The sequence below is a fragment of the Homo sapiens genome, chromosome 9 (genome assembly GCF_000001405.40).
Source record: "Homo sapiens chromosome 9, GRCh38.p14 Primary Assembly".
NCBI lineage: Eukaryota > Metazoa > Chordata > Mammalia > Primates > Hominidae > Homo > Homo sapiens.
The window spans coordinates 746,124-763,428 of NC_000009.12; the positions used below are offsets into that span (position 1 = coordinate 746,124).

A 17,305-nucleotide genomic window follows, 5' to 3' on the forward strand; every position below is an offset into this window, starting at 1 on the left:
CTCTGATAGCTGTCCGCCCCGAGCCGATTGACTTACGGCAGTGGCAGCACACGCTGATGGATTGAGCTGAGCAGGGAGGGTGAGTGCGCCAGTTGGCTCCGACAGGGAGACAGCATCTTCCGAGGGCGCTTGTCCACTTGCACAGCTTGGCTCCTGACTCAGATTGCAAGTCGGGAGGCTGAAGTTTGAGGCCTCCTTAGACAAAGCGCTCTTCCGATGGGTAGCCGGAGATGCTTCTTCTCAGGTGCAGAAGCACTAGTCCTTGACTCTGAGTACAACTGCTGGGTGACTAGGTGATACGTGTAGTGACAAGAAAGGAGAGATGAAGCCGGACACTTTTTTTTTTTTTTTTTTTTTGAGAATGGAGTCTCACTCTGTTGCCCAGGCTGGAGTGCAGTAGCATGATCTTGGCTCACTGCAAGCTCCACTTCCTGGGTTCACGCCATTCTCCTGCCTCAACCTCCCAAGTAGCTGGGACTACAGGCGCCCGCCACCACGCCCGGCTAATTTTTTGTATTTTTAGTAGAGACAGGGTTTCATCGTGTTGGCCAGAATGGTCTCGATCTCCTGACCTCATGATCAGCCCACCTCGGCCTCCTAAAGTGCTGAGATTAAAAGCATGAGCCACTGCATCTGGCCTCAAATTCTTTTTAAATAGTAAAGTAAGTTGGGACCATCTCATTAAATGAAGCAGCATGGCAGCCAGAATTCAAACCAGGTGTTCTGGCACAATCGCTGGTGGTGAGTTTTGGCCAAGGCCATCTATGAGAGCCAAGTGCACTGGAGAAATATCAGAGACTTCTTCTTTCCCTCCCTCCCTCCCCCGCTTTTAAAAATTAAACATTATTGAGCTCAGGAAAGAGGCCAGAGAATAGACTTTTCCCATAGGTGTTTCATTATGAGGTCTGTTTCAGAGTCAAGATTTGAACCTTTCAGAGGAAAACAATTTGGGGGGCTGTGAGAGCCATGCTGGCAGTGCAGGCAAACCTGGGCAGCAACAGACCAGCTCTCCCAGGACCACAAGGATGACTTTCCTCTGCATGAACTGTGAAAGTGAGGTCACAGCCACCTGGAGGCACATCCCTCTCGGGACATAACCTAAACCTACTAGCTGATACATGCTGAATTTCAGATCATGTAGCTCTTCAAGCCCAAGTTCCTACAGATCCAAAATGGCACAATAAAAGCAGGAGAGAGAGAGAGAGAGAGAGAGTGTGTGTGTGTGTAGAGAGAGAGAGAGAGGTAGAGCCATGCGTGGTCTGCCCCTTATGGGCATAACCTACCTTTTGAGCAAATAAGGTAGTACCTCTGGTGGTTCCCGGGCCTGGGAATTTTCTTTGTTCCATCTGAGAAAGGAAAGGCATGAATGTAAATGAATGAGCAAATGAATCCCCCTGTCTGCATGCTGCCCTTCTGATTTCTCATGCTAGATTTTGAAATAGAAAATGAGTGCTTGTTTTATCAGATACAAGATATGTATCTGACCTCTAAGTAATGAATGCTAGATGGTACCTTGTTTGCTCTAATCACACTAGGCATTTAGAATGCCTTTTATCTTGGGATCCTGGTATACTATATAAACAAGCCTGATTATGCCCATTGGTACAGCTGCAGTTTATTGAGGCACAAACTCCATAAAAGGGATTTGTGACAGGAGGCTTGGGCAAGGTTCCCAAGTAAGACCAGCATGGGGTTGGCAACTCCTGATCTTATTTTCCAGCTTAAGAGAAGTCTAGGTGGGTGTGGTGGCTCACACCCATTATCTTAGCACTTTGGGAGGCTCAGTCAGGCAGATCACTTGAGTCCAGGAGTTCGAGACAAGCCTGGGCAATATAGCAAGATCTCATCTCTACAAAAGAAAAATTAGCTGGGCGTGGTGGCATGTACTGTAGTGCCAGCTACTTAGGGGTTGAGATGGGAGAATCACCTTGGCCCAGGAAGTTGAGGCTACAGTAAGCCATGATTGTGCCACTGCACTCCAGCCTGGGTAATAGAGTGAGAACCTGTCTCGGAAAAAAAAAAAAAAAAAAAAAAGGAAGGTTTAAATCTTTAAGTGATGAAAAGACAGCTTCCCAGAAACCTTGCCTTGGAAGTTGAACCACGGACAGTTGGGAGCCACCCCAAGACAACAGGAGTGGAACAGTGGGACTTTTGAGAGTTTAACCTTAAGAAAGTAAAACTAAGCCAGGTGTGGTGGTTCACACCTGTAATCTCAGCTACTGGGACAAAGGCTGAGGTGGGAGGATTGCTTGAATCCAGGAGTTTGAGGCCAGCCTGGCCAATGTAGTGAGACCCCCATCTCTTTAAAAAACAAACAAACAAAGGAAAAAAAAACTGGCAACTTGTCGTGACACTATTACGACTAAACTGACAACTAAATGTCTCACCAAGGGGGAGGAAGGGTGCTTCTGGAGACGTTTACTAGGAACACTTCATCTAGCTCTGGTATCCAAAATAAATGAAGCTCTGAGCGCTTTCCTTGTAAGTTAATACTTGGGAGAACAACATTATCCCTGATTTTTGTACTACTGAAGTACTGCCGATATCTGACAATCCTTGCAGATGGAATCACATAAGAAAACTATTTCTCCTTCAAAGGAAATAATGACCAAACATAACCTTTCTTTAAATTCTGCTAGATCTTTTGTGGGGGAACTTGCTACAAGTAGAATTACATTTTTATGATTTTGTATAAGCCTTCCCTTCACGAGACACTTAAGAATTTCCAGAGGGAGCAGGTAGAAAATGCAAATTTCAGTCGGACACGGTGGCTCAGGCCCATAATCCCAGCACTTTGGGAGGCCGAGGCAGGCAGATCACCTGAGCTCAGGAATTTGAGATCAGCCTGGGCAACATGGTGAAACCCCACCTCTACTAAAACTACAAAAAACTAGCCGGACGTGATGGTGCACGCCTGTAATCTCAGCTACTCAGGAGGCGGAGGTTGCAGTGAGTCAAGATCACGCCACGGCACTCCAGCCTGGCCAACAGAATAAGACTCTGTTCTCAAAAAACAAACAAACAAACAAGCAAATTTCCAGCCTGGTCTGAGAATCCCCATCCTTAACAAGCATCCCAGGTGTTTCTGAACATAGCCTTTGGTCCACACTAAGAAGCTGTTGCTCCCAAAGTATGAGACATGATGCATCTGTTCTTCCCCACACATGTTAGGCAAGGTGGGGGAACTACATCAAAACAAACATTGGCTTTACCTTAGCTCTCTAAGGAGCCGGGCTTCCACTGGTGATCAGGATCCCACATAGGTTTTCTGTGGTGCTGCACATCCATGTTCAGTAGCATTTCTGCATCTCCTGGAATATAGTCATTTCTAGAAGTCCAGGAACCATGACTGCCACAGATCCATTTTTCTGTGCTTGTAAGGACCAGAGAAGGTGGCTCAGTATATAGGTGACAGTGGCTGGGCAGGCAGACAGCCCTTAGAATATTTTCCCAAGCTAATCTTTTCCATTTCCACTTCCTCGTGGAGTTGGACTATTACTGCTCAGAAGGAGGCCATGAACCATTGCTTTGGCTTTGGAATAAAGAATTTTCCATTTTCTTTTTTTTACTAAAAGCACCTTTTTTTTAAAGCCCTAGGCCTTAGCCAGAAACTGTTCTACTTTCTGCATAAGGAAATTACTAATCATACGTTTTCTCTGCTCTTATTCAGCATGGCTGTAATTTAAAAGCCAGCTGATTATAAAAATATAAAGTACATTTTGTTGCAGTTTCTTACCACAAAGGATGTGGCTGAACCGTAGACCACAACGTTCCTGAGCTGCTCACGCTCGAACCCCTCCCCACTGAAGGCACCAGCTACTCCCTGCAGGGACCAGACAGTCATGGCTTTTCAAGCATGAAAGATGGCATTATTTGGAACTTGTAATGATATCCTTGAGATACCTATCCTGAATTCTGGCAAGGATCTTGCAGTGAAGCTGGAAAACAACATATCATTTTTGCAGGTGCATGCTTAGACAGAAATGTCTGATTTAGAGGATGTTGGGAAGGAGCTGGCATTTTAAGAATCCAGCTGCCCACTGCATCTCCATTAAGACCTTTGTTGATTAAATAGGTAAGAGGATGGAAAACATATCCCTCATTTTCATAAAATGGAAGCTGCATAACAAATATTCCTATTTCTAAAACCAAATGTCAATCTTGTATTTGAGCCAAAATAACTTTTACACTTGTTCCCCATTCCCCAACCCAGAAGGAACTAGTTACCCAGCCCTAGAAACCACCTGGAAGGCTAAGGCTGTACGACTGAGGGCGAGAGAAAATCCCTGAGCTGCAGACAGGCAGGTGCTGCTTTGCTGTCACTGGTGCAGGCAGCTCGATGCCTTGTTGAGGCTGGTTGTAGGAGAGCAAGTGCCAGCTGGGCAGGCCGCTTCTCATGTGTCGGGCAGCAAAGAGATTCTTGCTATGGTCCCATCTGCTCTTTTAGGAAGTACTGGATGTGCTTAAACAGGTAATAAGGAAAATATTTATTAGGTAAAATCCCTGAGAGTTCAGAGAGCTCACCCACCCCCAATCCTGCCTAAAATATGTCACCCCCACCCCCAGAAAAATCCAGTCTTCCAACAGGAAGCTTATTAGGATGAAATCTCATGCTTCGGTTTGTAACACCATCTGCCAGGACTGAGAAGTTCCGGTGCCTAGCTGAGAAATACTAGTTGAATGAATGAGTGTAAAAAAATAACTGATGGTGTTAGAAGTCAGGAGTGTTGCCATGAGGGAGCTGGAAGGAGCCCAAATGGGGCTGGTGGGCTCCTGGTAATGGTCAATTTCTTGCCTGGGGGGTAGTTGCACTGTTATGCTCACTTTGTGACCATTCATCAGGCTGTAGACACACGTGTGTGCTTTCCTGTATGTATATTAACTTCAATTTTTTTTAAAGTTTAAGAAAATGAAAAAGTTTGATCAAAAAAAACCTTGGGAAGGAAGGTGCAGATTTGAGAGTCAATATAATCAAAGAGATAGTGAAAGAAGGTAAAAACTGGAAACTCTTAGCCCTGCTATTTCTTGAATGTGACCACATAGTTTTGCATGATGGCCATTGTGGCCCACTCGTAACCTTGAATAGCAGTCACGAGGGCTGTTCTCAGATACTCCAGTTCTTTTTCTGGGCACAACAGGATCGGATGTACTACCCACACACTTTTGAAGTTACACTTGGCCATGTGACTTCTCCAATGAAACAGAAAAGGTTATGTGTCAGTTCCAGATGGAAGCCTCAAAAGCCAGTGCAGTTTACCGTATCTTGTACTCCCCTTGTCACAGTGATGATCACGGAAGCAAGTGTTGACACAGACATCCCATTAGTGTCGACCCTGAGTGACTACGTGGAATAGAGTTTCCTTGCCAAGCTGTGTTGCAGGTGTATTAGGAACAAGAAATAGTCCTTTATTATGCTAAGCCAGAGAAGCTAGGGAGTGACTTGCTGTCACAGCGTAACTTAGATTTTCTTTATCCATACAAAAACTGGTTCCTCGAAGTGAAGTGCTGCTGTGTAACCAAATGGCTTAGTTGATTGGCGGACAGCAACAAAACTGTCACTGGGGACTTAATCATAGAACAATGACAACTATTTGGATGACTATTTTCTTAATAATCCCCAGGGATGGTACATACCAGTACCATCCTAGTTGCAGAGAGAGAATGTAACCTATTATCTACAGTGGATGCCTTAGGGCACTAGGGACTACATATTTTTGTGAAAGGAAAGCCATTTCCTGTGTACAGTCTGCCTAGATTGTCTCTTAGAAACGTGTAGCTCTCAAACTTTGGTGTGCATCGGAATCCCCAGGAGGGTTTGTGAAAACACACTGCTGGGCCTCAACCTCGACTTTCCAATTCGGTAGGTCTGGAAAGAGGCTCAAGAATTGGCATTTCTAACAAGTTCCCAGGTGGTGCTGATGCTTCTGGTCCAGAAACCCCACTTTGAGAAATGCTGCTCTAGAGGAAGGGCTCTGATAAGGAGGATTCCTGTCCATCAGGGAGCTCTAAAGTGTCTGTTCTTTCATCTTTGTAGGCTTTCGTCTTTTGCAGTTTCCAGTGACTAAACCTTATGAGTTAACTTGTTCCCTGTGGAACTTTTGCTTCCCAGTATAAAAAACAAATTCTGCAAAGATACCATTGCCCAATAGGAAGTCTTTCTACAGCTTGTACAATATATCAAGTGTTTATAAATCCTGTATTCATCCAGAATTTGGCCATAGAACTTGACTCACAGCAGTCTTAAAAAAAAAAAATGACTCATACATTTCCCTTAGAAAGTAATGTTTCTTTATGCTAATCCCATGAGTTTCTGTGTCAGCTCACTCCCTTATGAATGCACATTTTAAAAAATCATGGTTGGCCGGGTGCGGTGGCTCATGCCTGTAATCCCAGTACTTTGGGAGGCTGAGGTGGGTGGATCGCCTGAGGTCAGGAGTTCGAGACTAGCCTGGCCGACATAGTGAAATCCTGTCTCTAATAAAAATACAAAAATTAGCTGGGCATGGTGGTGGGCACCTGTAATCCCAGCTACTCAGGAGGCTGAGGCAGGAGAATCGCTTGAACCCGGGAGGCGGAGGTTACAATGAGCCGAGATAGTGCCGTTGCACTCCAGCCTGGACAACAAGAGCAAAACTTTGTCTCAAAAAATAATAAAAAAAATCATGGTCTCCTCTGGAAACCCAGGTGGCATGGAGGAGAGTGTGCTGCACTGCTGCCCTCTCAGCTGCTGCCTCTGCATTCCATCCTGGGTTCTGATTCTGCCATCAGGCAGAAGTGCACAGTGTTTTTCCTTTCCAGAGCAGAAAAACGGTCATCCTAGGTGTTCACACTGAGATGCAAGAGACTGAGTCATCTGTGTTGGAAAGCCACAGGGGTCCAATGAACCCAGGAACCAATTGAAGATCCTCTTGCCTAAGGACACATATGGTATGTCCACAGCGCTAAGTTCAGAGACCAAGTTGAGATGAGTTAGAAGAGGGAGAAGACATCAGTGTTTCACTGGGAAAGGAGGCAACTTGTTTATATCTTCTCTCATCTGTAAATTCACCTCCAAGAGACAAGACACTCAGAAAGTACACTTGCTGAGATTGATTAATGGAAGGCCTTGAATGACCAAAGGAACGTTAATGAAGTTCCCCATATGCTTCATTCAGTCATCATCAGAGATATATGACCACTACATAACCAAAGAGCCAGAAGCTTGGTGTCTGTCTTATAAACCTTGCTATAGATATTGGTCTGTAGAACATTTTTTTTTTTTTGAGGCGGAGTCTCACTCTGTTGCCCAAGCTGGAGTGCAGTGATGAGATCTTGGCTCACTGCAACCTCCACCTCCTGGGTTCAAGCGATTCTCGTGCCTCAGCCTCCCAAGCAGCTCGGATTACAGGCACACACCACCACGCCTGGCTAATTTTTATATTTTTAGGAGAGCCGGGGTTTCATTATGTTGGCCAGGCTGGTCTCAAACTCCTGATGTCAGGTGATCTGCCCACCTGAGCGTCCCAAAGTGCTAAGATTACAGGCATGAGTCACTGTGCCTGGCACATATTTAAAAAAGTAGAGCACAGTCATTTTACTTACCTGTGTGTGTCGGAGTTTAGGGACTCCAGCTGAGGACAAACATCCTACACTTGCCAGTGCACAACAGTCTTGGGTTCAGAAATTTGTTTTGCCAAATTCTTGTCACTGCTTCTAATCCTTTTTAAAATTGGGGGCCCAAACACTGTCATCACCCACCAGTAAGTCTTCTGAAGATTACCTCTCGGCCGGGTACGGTGGCTCACACCTATAACCCCAGCACTTTGGGAGGCCGAGGCGGGTGGATCACCTGAGGTCAGGAGTTGGAGACCAGCCTGGCCAGCGTGGTGAAACCCTGTCTCTACCAAAAATACAAAAATTAGGCGGTCGTGGTGGCTTGCACCTGTAATCCCAGCTACTCAGCTACTTGGGAGGCTGAGGCAGAAGAATCCCTTGAACCCAGGAGGCAGAGGTTGCGGTGAGCTGAGATCACACCACTGCACTTCCAGGCTGGGCGATAAGAGTGAGACTCTGTCTCAAAAACAATCAATTAATTAAAGATTACCTTTCAATGATCGGTACCTACATTTACCTCTGCATGGAAAGGAGTTTCACCCAGGTGCCAACATGATGAACATTAACTGCTATTAGCAATCCACCCATCCGGGTAGACAGGCTGTCAGCCAGAGTCTACAGAAACGTAGGCAGTCACTCTTCCCTTTGCTTCCCCCTCCTGTTCATTTGATGCCTAATAAAGAATGACTTTTCACTTGTGCTCATTGTCCAGTTTTTACCAAGATATGAAATACATCTATAGCGCTGAAGACCAGTGAAAGATATTCAGTTTGGGGCAATGCAAGGAAAGAAGCAATCTACAGGGAACTATTTTATTTGAAGGTGAAAGTTGCTTCTGTTAACTCTTCAAGAAATGCATCATTCTAAGTGGGACATTTCAGTTATTTATGGTCACGATATTGTTAGGTAACAGTCCTCAAAGCCTCAGTAGCCTACCATAGTAAGCATGCATTGCTCACACCTCTGGGTGCCCAGCGAAGTGGCTGTGCTGACCTTGGCCAGTCTCACAGCTGTCAGCTGACCTAGGCTGGGTAGCTAAAGTGCGTTCTCATGGCCATAACAGAAATGCAAGAATACAGGTGGACAGGGATCCTGGAGGCTCAGGCTCAGAACTCGTACTCCATTAATTTCATGGCACTCCATTGGCCCAAGCAAATCATAAGACCAGTCCAGATTCAAAGAGATTGGGAAACAAATCCTTCAGTGAAAGGAACTGCAAAGCCACATGCCGGAATGTTTGGCTATAGAAAGAAAGAAAGGATTTGGAGCCATAAAATGCAATAAACCCATCAGAGTGGGATCCTCTCCCAATAATAGCTCCGGCCCGGATTTTGGAATTGCTCAGGAGGCATACTTCTAATAACCTACTTAAATACCTGTGGGGAAGGGTGGAGCTAGGAACTCTGGTCCACCCTTGAGATTGATGTCTGCAGAGCCTTTTCTGTGGTGGAGCCCTTTTGTAAGTTCTCAGCCACACCATTATCACTACCTTGAGTGCTGCCATCAAGAAGCCACCAACCAGAGCCGTCATCTGCTAAGTGTCCAGTGACTGTGAATGTAAAAGCGGAAGGTAGAAAATGGTAGCTTGTTGGAAAATATGGGGGTCGTAACCCAAAAACAGCTGTAAGAGAAGAGAGCTATCATAAAAGTCTTGAGAGCTAGTTTTTTGGGGGTTGTTTTTTAAAGCGGAGTCTCACTCTGTCACCAGGCTGGAGTGCAGTGATACGATCTCAGCTCACTCCAACCTCTGCCTCCTGGGTTCAAGTGATTCTCCTGCTTCAGCCTCCTGAGTAGCTGGGATTACAGACATGTGCCACCATACCTGGCTCATTTTTGTATTTTTAGTAGAGACGGGGTTTCAACATGTTGGCCAGGCTGGTCTCGAACTCCTGGCCTGAAGTGATCCACCCGCCTCGGCCTCCCAAAGCGCTGAGATTACAGGCGTGACCATCACACACAGCCTTGGGAGCTAGTTTCAAGCGGTATTTTTGACGAGTACCGGGGTGAAGCACCAGTAAGGGAAGAATTCCATCTCCAGCCTGTTCCCACTGAGGAGACTGTACCATAAAGCACTAGGGAAATCTGACCTCCACAGCCTTTGGCTTCCAACTGAGGATCAAAGCAAGGACAGGCATGAGTCATAGTAGAGTCCCCTTAAACCCTTAGCTGGTGAGCGTTATTTCACCACAAGCCATGGCTATTTCCTGTGGCCAACAGGAAAAGGCTGCATAGTCATTTCTGAATTCCTGTGGAAGAACTACTCTGAGGCAGTCTTATCAAGCAAGTCTAGCTCTGTCTCTGGGCAGTGACCTGAAGGCATCTCTTCCTTAACTTTGACAGCTGATCCCAGACTAACTTGTCACATAGGAGTTGGACATTGGTTGTGCCATACTAACCCCAGGAGGAGGAAGTGGAGGAACTGACTGAGAGGAGAGGTTACCACTTGCTAATGAAGTTAAGGGAATCCTCATTGCGCAAGGACGTTTCAGCTCTTCTGCCTGCTCTGAAGGTGGAACATGCTGTGGTCATCACTTTGGTCAAACATGAACAACAGCCTTATAGGAGAGCAGGTGGAGCTAATGGGGGAACAAAGATGAAAATCATGTTCAACACTTTTGGAAGCACTGAACATGATGGGGTTAATGAGCCAGTGGTCTGATCCTCCTTCTGCTCATGGAGGGAGGCTGAAATGCCTGACAACCTCTGGCTTCTCCCTGCAAAAACAGAAGAGATCCTGGAGCTAAGATAGGTGACTTTTTTTTTTTTTTTTTTTTTTTTTTTTTTTTTTTTTTTTTTTTGGAGAAGGAGTCCCACTCTGTCGCCCAGAAGACTGGAGTGCAGTGGCGAGATCTCCACTCCCTGCAACCTCCGACTCCCAGGTTTAAGCGATTCTCTTGCCTCAGCCTTCCAAGTAGCTGGGATTACAGGCACCCACCACCACTCCCAGCTAATTTTTTTTTTGTATTTTTAGTAGAGAGGGATTTTTGCCATGTTGGCCAGGCTGGTTTCAAACTCCTGACCTCAGGTGATCCACCCGCCTCAGCCTCCCAAAGTGCTGGGATTACAGGCATGAGCCACCGCACCCGGCCAACATAGGTGACTTGTCACACCTGCTTCAGAGAGAGCCCAGGGCAGGCAAGGCAGTCCCCATTGGAGCTGACTTCCAACCCCATGCATGGCTGCTTCTCTGTGCTGCTTCCCTGCTGAGCTTCAACTCCCTTCTAGGGATGCCATTTTCCTGACAACCAAAATGGCAGGCAGAACCAGCCTCATTTGCTGAGGTTGAGAGGAGGGCGCCTGACACACAGTAGGGTTCAGAACCTGTCCAGTGAGGTGAATTTTGCAGGTTGTTCGTGGCAAATCTTTTTCTTTTTTTTTGAGAGGGAGTCTCACTCCATCACCAGGCTGGAGTGCAGTGGTGCGATCTTGGCTCACTGCACGCTACGCCTCCCGAGTTCAAGCAATTCTCCTGCCTCAGCCTCCCAAGTAGTTGGGATTACAGGCGCACACCACCACACCTGGCTAATTTTTTGTATTTTTAGTAGAGACAGGGTCTCACTATGTTGGCCAGACTGGTCTCCAACTCCTGACCTCGTGATCTGCCTGCCTCGGCCTCCCAAAGTGCTAGGATTACAGGCGTGAGCCATCGTGCCCGTTCATGGCAAGTCTTAAGGCTGTCAGTAACACATCTGAAGGGGGCCGTTATGCCAACAGGAAAGAGACATGTTCTGTGCTTCTCCAGGAGGAAGAGGGTCCAAAGTGCTGAGCCAAAAATCCAACAACTAGCACACATTTAAATGGGCTCCCCCAGGCGGGAATGAGGCAGGGAAGGTTTCTTCAAATAAACAGACACTCGTTCAACTCAACTCCAAATGGGCACCGCCCGCCCCCTGTGAAAGGCCTTGGTAAGGAGTGCGAGAGGTTAGCTGAGAAGGGTCCCAGCCAGCACAGAGGCTACTACTACCTGCAACCCCACCAGTTCCCTTCACTCCTCAGCCTGACCTATCAGCTCTCCCTAGTGGCCAGTGGGAGACATATCCAAGCATGAGCCAGTCTCCCAACAACGTTTAATTTTATTTATTTATTTATTTTGAGACAGAGTCTCCCTCTGTCACCCAGGGTGGAGTGCAGTGGAACGATTTCAGCTCATTGCAACCTCTACCTCCCAGGTTCAAGCGATTCTCCTGCCTCTGCCTCCCAAGTAGCTGGGATCACAGGCAGGCACTACCACATTGGCTAATTTTCTATTTTTAGTAGAGACCGGGTTTCACACCATGTTGGCCAGGCAGGTCTCGAACTCCTGACCTCAGGTGATCCACCTGCCTCAGCCTTCCAAAGTGCTGAGATTACAGGCATGAGCCACCGTGCCTGGCCAACAATGTTTTTAAAACAGGACATAATGGGTTACAAAATTAATGTAACTACAAGCATTTTTAAAAGTTGAATAAATCTGAAATCTTGATTGTATCAGATATATTGATGGTAACATCATTTCATGAAGCTTTGTGTGTGTGTGTGTGTGTGTGTGTTTGTGTATCATCTCAGTCACAAAATAAGATGTGTTTGGGGTTTTTTGGTTTCTCCTTAAGACAGGGACTCACTATCACGCAGGCTGGAGTGCAGTTGTGCAATCACGGCTCACTGCAGCCTCAACCTCCTGGGCTCAAGCGATCCTCCCACTTAAGCCTTCCCAAGTGGCTGGGACCACAGGCGCACTCTACCACACTAGGCTAATGTTGAGGCAGGATCTCACTATGTTGCCCAGGCTAGTCACTTTTTTGTCTGGTAGCCTCATGGTCTAGAAAAGTTTCAACGTTTATAGCAAGTAACTTTTTCTTTCAACATCAGCCTACTTCACTCTTCTTTTTAATTATGTTCGAATTTTTTATTGTAGTAAAACATACATAATATGAAGTTTGCCATCTTTACTATTTTAAGTGTATAATTCAGTGACATGAATTGTATTTACAATATTTTGTAACTAGCACCACTATCCAGATCCAAAACTTTTTCATCACCCATAAAAGAAACTCCATAACCATTAAGCAAAACTGTCCATATCCCCTCCCTCAACCCCGGTAGCTTCAGTTCCACTTCCTGTCTCTATGCCTTTGCCTATTCTAGATAGCTCACATAGGGGAATCATGCAACCGTTGTCCTTTTGTGTCTGATTTATTTCTCTTAGCATAATGTCCTCAAGGTTCATCCATGTTGTAGCACATGTCAGAACTTAATTCCTTTTCATAGCTGAATAGTAGTGCACTGTATGTATATTCTGCCTTTTGTTTATGCATTCATTTGTTATCACCACCTCATCTTATTTTATTTGAGACAAGGTCTTACTCTGTCACCCAGGCTGGAGTGCAGTGGCGCAATCATGGCTCACTGCAGCCTGGACTTCTCGGGCTCAGGTGATCCTCCCACCTAAAGCCTCGCAGGTAGCTGGCATTGCAGGTGCGCACTGCCACGCCTGGCGAATTTTTTGTAGAGATGGGGTTTCACCATGTTGCCCAGGTTGGTCTCAAATGATCCTCCTGTCTCGGCCTCCCTAAGTGCTAGGATTACAGGCATGAGCCACCACACCCAGCTACCACCTCATTTTAAAATAAAGTGAAGCTCAGACTGGCTTCACTACTTAGCGGGAAGGCTGATCAGAAAGAGCAGGCCTCCTGCCTTCTAAGCCAAGACTTTTGCCACTACTCCAAGCTACTGACAAGCCTGCTTTGCCTTGACACCCTTTATTTCATATTCTGTTCCAATTCCAAGTCGTGAAAAATAACAAACCCTTAGCACTTAACCACACAGCAGGCGCTGTTCTGAGTGGTTTGCTCACGTTCCCTTATTTTCTCCTTTCCAGAAACCTATAAAGTAGTTGAACACCATTACTATCCCCTTTTTATAGATGAAGCAACATAAACATCGAGAGGTTAAGTAACTTGTCCGAGATCACACAGCTATTAGTGAGAAAGCCAGGCAGACCTGCACCAAGTCCCTGCACTGAATCACTTCGCCACACTGCCACTCTTGCAGAGAGAAAAGCATTCTTCACCAAAACAACACCGTATTTCTAGTGGTAAGAGACTCAAATTCCAGACAAGAAATCAAATACGGTGTCCTGTAACAGATTAACTTAGGAAGACAAATGTATTCCAAAGGCAAGACTGCAAGTTATACCTGCCTTTACACAAACATCGACGGTCCCAAAATTCTGCATGGGGCTTGTGAGACAGTCTCTTCCTCTGACTATGACAATCTAGGAACAACAGGACAAAAAACAATTCTTCAGGCCCAGAACTGGTTCCCTGACACATTCTAGACCCTGCTTAAGGACACAGAAGTCTGATTCTGGAGATGCCCTTGCTCTTGAAGACCCAACTGTGCAGTGTTCTGCGTGCCTGAGTCCCACGCCCCAGCCTACCATGGCCACCATGGCGGGTTTGGCCAGTACTCTACAAAGCCCAGAAGCATCAGGCACCTGAGAACCATGCCCTTGTTACATTTAAGTCATGTGACTCACTGACTAGGAAGACAGAAACTTCTAGAAAGAAAGCCAAAGAGAATCCACAGCTGCTTTCTGCAAGCCAGATTTACTTGAAAATGCAAGTGATGAGGCTGTCACTCCCACCCTGAGGATGAGGGGAAGGAGGAGGGAGGCTTTGCTGTCTCCCAGAAAATCAACAAGAACACAGTTTCCAGGCGCTGTGGAGAAAATGTATTATTCGGAAGTCTGAGCTCCAAGAGACTCCTTGTCCTTGCAGTGGGGCCATCTGTGTTCTCTAGGTTGTGGTTTTCGCCGGCAAGTCTAAACACTTCCATTGATCGGTCAACAAGAACAGAACTTATTTACCTGCCACAGTACCTCGGGCTGTAGCTCTGATAAGGGCCCCTCAAGGTGCCCTTCCCAAGCGACCAGCCTGCTTGCTTCTGCTATTTCCTTTTTATTCAGGAATGCCTCATGCTACTAAAATAGCAGACAAGGTTTAAATACACTGCTACTTTGTGTGTCTAGCCATTTTAAAAAATTATTTTCAACCTTACCACCAGTATTAACATCTCCTACATCAGAAGAAAGGTGCCACAGGAATCAGGGTGCTACACAGCATAGGGTTTGGGGGACACACTCCTGTGATACTCCATTGTATTAGGGCTCTCCAGAGGAGCAGAACCAATAGGATATATATAGATGTATAGAAAGTGATCGACTACAAGGGACTGGCATATGCAATTACTGAGGCCAGGAAGTCCTGTGGTCTGCCATCTGTGAGGTGGAGGCCCAGGAAAGCCAGGGGTGTGGCTCCAGCCCAGACCCAAAGGCCTAAGAACCAGGGAAGCCAGTGTCTGAGGGCAGGAGAGGATGGAGGTCCCAGCTCAAGCAGAACGGGAACTCTATCTTCCTACACGTTGTTGTCCTATTCAAGCCCTCCGTAGACTGAATGGTACCCACCCGCAGTGGTGAGGAAAGCCTTCTTTACTCGGTCACCAATTCAAATGCTCATCCCTTTCAGAGACACCCACGCAGAGGTGTGCCAGCTTTCTGGGCATCCCTTGACAGTCAAATTGACACATAAAAGAACCATTATACCTTCTTGTCCAGAAGTCTTTGCAGATAACCGTCCATGAATTCTAATGAAGCCTGGGAACCTATCCAGAGCTGGGGCAAGAAAGGATCCATGCAAGTAGGAAACTAGCAAAACCTGCAGGCTCCAGCATCCTGCCAGTCATCTGCAGACCCCAGAGGGGTCCACAAGCAAGTGCTCAACAACACCGTCCTAGTTACATTCGGGTCATGTGGCTTCTTGACCAGGAAGAGAGAAACCTCTCAAACAAAAGCTAAAGAGAATCCACAGCTGCCTTCTCCAAACCTGTTACAGCTGGAAAAGCAAGTGATGAGGAAATCACATGAGCTCATGCTTGTGAAGCACTCTGTACAAACAGGCACTGTGGAAGCATTCACTATTTTGTTAACGATAAGGTCATTTTTTTCCTCGAGGTCAGGTTGTTCATTCCAGTTTCACTCACTGGCATCTCTCCCCAGAGCACACAGGCACTCACACAAAAATAACTGTCTTCCTAGTTATCCCACAGGTATGGACAATCGCTGGTACGACCATTGGATTGTCCACTGCCTTGCTGAGTTCCAGCAGGCTGCTCTGATGGGGAACAAAAAAAAAAAGCAACCTGTGGGCAGCGAGGAGGTTTTTCTAGGGAATCTGCGTAGACTGTCTTTGTCAAATGTGGGAAGGAAAGGGGTCCTCCCAGGAATTAGGATCTGCTGCGAGGTTGTGCCAGGGCATCCACGCCTGCGTTTCTCTCAGTGTTGGCCTCGCTGATCCCACCATCCCTCCAGGTGCGCTGTAGAACTTCCAAGACTCATTGCCATGAATATGTTAGCTAGGTGGTCGTCAAGTCTACAGGTTCTTCCTCCCCACAGCTCTTGGGTCCACCCTCTTCCACTGCTGCTAACACAGTTCAGGGCACCATCATTTCTTCTGGACTGCTGCAAGGTCATCAGAACTGGTCTCCCCAATGTCAGCCCTGCCGCTTTCAGTACAGTCATGTTATTCCCTGTTGAAAGCCACTCAATGGCTTCAGCTCGGTCTGGCATGATGAAGCTTCCTCCGTAATCTGGGTTCAGCTCCATCACACTCCTCCCACACCTCCAACTGAGCTAAACCAAAATGCCACAGGAGTTCCTGACCTTAAGCCCTTGTGTCACTCACTTTATTATTCATAGTTTGTCCCCAGTGTTGCAACCAAGAGCTGAGGCTCCTTGGGCTCTCTCATTTTTGAACATCAAATGCAGGTCTCCTTTGCCATGCAATGTGACTGTCTGATTCACAAGAGCATGGCCCTGCAAGTGTATGCCAGGTGGCCCTACCCACATCAGCAGATACATTGGCAGACAATCAGGATGGATCAGGACAATCTCTCTGAATACATCCATCCATTTGGAAGGAAGGCAATCAAGATGGAGATTAAAACCAGCTTAACATGGAACTAGAGAGGCAAAACAGCCTCCCTTGTGAGGTTCTGAGTTGTAGAGTAGGAAGGTGGCATGTCCTTGCCTCACTACCCCTTCGTTCCCATTCGGTGGCTGACAGCTTCTGTTTCTCATTTCTTATTAGACTAAAGCTTGACTCTTGCTCTGCTGTTTCTTTTCATTGATGAAGCTTAAATAACCAGTAATCACAGCATGCAAAATAGTGTGCACCAGACTTCATATAGTTAAAGTGAGAGTCTTCATTTTTGAAAATATGCTCCAGGCAACTTTGGAAAAAGCAGAATTACTTCCTCTTGTAGGCCACTGGACAGACCCTACTTCGTCCTAAAGTAAGGTGAAGGCCAAAAGACGGGCTTCCAGGGCCAACTACACTACACCTACCTTTTGCCTTAACTTTATTCACTTGTGGGCAACATCAAAAGATGAGCCTATTTTGGGGCCGGCCGCAGTGGCTCACGCCTGTAATCCCAGCACTTTGGAAGGCCGAGGCGGGTGGATCACGAGGTCAGGAGATCGAGACCATCCCGGCTAACACGGTGAAACCCCATCTCTACTAAAAATACAAAAAATTAGCCGGGCGTGGTGGCTCACGCTTGTAGTCCCAGCTACTCGGGAGGCTGAGGAAGGAGAATGGCGTGAACCCAGGAAGCGGAGCTTGCAGGGAGCCGAGATTGCACCAGCGCACTCCAGCTTGGGCGACAGAGCGATACC

General features: G+C 46.6%; 1 long non-coding RNA gene across 1 annotated transcript, besides 1 other annotated feature; it reads right to left on the reverse strand.

Annotated features, from left to right (window-relative positions):
- LOC124902109 (uncharacterized) lies at nt 1,126-15,258 on the reverse strand. The gene is made up of 4 exons (XR_007061394.1): nt 15,176-15,258; nt 4,228-4,462; nt 3,213-3,373; nt 1,126-1,346 (listed from the first exon to the last, which is right to left on the reverse strand). It is a non-coding gene; the product is annotated as an uncharacterized LOC124902109 (long non-coding RNA).
- Nucleotides 15,306-15,600: a silencer, noted in NCBI's record as "tiled region #15053; HepG2 Repressive DNase unmatched - State 8:EnhW". NCBI's record gives its function as "represses a minimal TATA promoter and a strong SV40 promoter by Sharpr-MPRA in HepG2 cells {active_cell/tissue: HepG2}" and the evidence as "EXISTENCE:reporter gene assay evidence [ECO:0000049][PMID:27701403]".